Source organism: Homo sapiens, chromosome X (assembly GCF_000001405.40).
Source record: "Homo sapiens chromosome X, GRCh38.p14 Primary Assembly".
In the NCBI taxonomy this organism is placed as follows: Eukaryota; Metazoa; Chordata; class Mammalia; order Primates; family Hominidae; genus Homo; species Homo sapiens.
Genome location: NC_000023.11, coordinates 39,730,549 through 39,731,400, shown reverse-complemented (window position 1 = coordinate 39,731,400; position 852 = coordinate 39,730,549). Strand labels below are relative to the sequence as shown.

Below are 852 nucleotides of genomic sequence, written 5' to 3'. Positions count from 1 at the left end.
ACACACGAGGCTCAGGCCTGGAAGATCTATTAGTGCCACTCCTGTCACCGCCCGCAGAGCAGGAGGAGAGGCAGCCAAATGCTGTGCTAATTATTCTAGCTTCCAGCAGGGTCTCGGAGGTCCCAGCCATGGTAAATCTTAACTTTCATGCTATGGTGCACCGGGATGCAATTTACTTCAAAGAGAGCATAAATCCCCACTGCGGCGTGTATCAGAGGAGTGTTACATAAAAGTGGCCCATGTGCTTCCCACCCTGGCTGCCTTCTCTCGCTCCCCTTCTCTCCCTCCCTCACTCTCTCCTCGTAAGTTTGAAAAAGCCAGCCCGCGGTTGGTTACACATCTCGCACGCAAAAACATTTACACACACGTCTGCTCCCAGCCTTATAAATCACCAGGCTTGGCGACTTGGCAGTGGGAACACAGGCGAGCTCTATTTTTACCAGCCCCATCCGCAGACAGCCCCGGGGGCCCCTCCTTTCCTACAGTGACACCTACTGGTGCTAGCTTTGGCCAAAGGCAGCCTTGCCGCTTCAGACCCATTTCTCAGGCTTTGGAGGATGGTAACTGATCAAGGCCTGGCCCTTCCCCCAATTCTTCCTCTGCTAACCCCTTCCAGCCTCTGGGGAATTCCTCCAGCCACAAATTCCACCCAGGAAGCCCCGCCCCACCACCAACGCCCTCAACCAGGCTTGACATAATAATTACCTTCCACAGAGCTGCGGACTGCAAGAGGCAAGGCCAGCACAACTCATTAGGATGTCAAAGGATCAAGGGAATTGGGGAGGGGACTGCCTACCAGGTCACCACCCCCCCACCTTCGGCCCCAAAAGCAAGGTTCCTTCCTGTAATGCA

General features: G+C 54.8%; 1 annotated feature.

The window, feature by feature from the left end:
* Positions 352–646: an enhancer, noted in NCBI's record as "tiled region #4639; HepG2 Activating non-DNase unmatched - State 12:CtcfO". NCBI's record gives its function as "activates a minimal TATA promoter and a strong SV40 promoter by Sharpr-MPRA in HepG2 cells {active_cell/tissue: HepG2}" and the evidence as "EXISTENCE:reporter gene assay evidence [ECO:0000049][PMID:27701403]".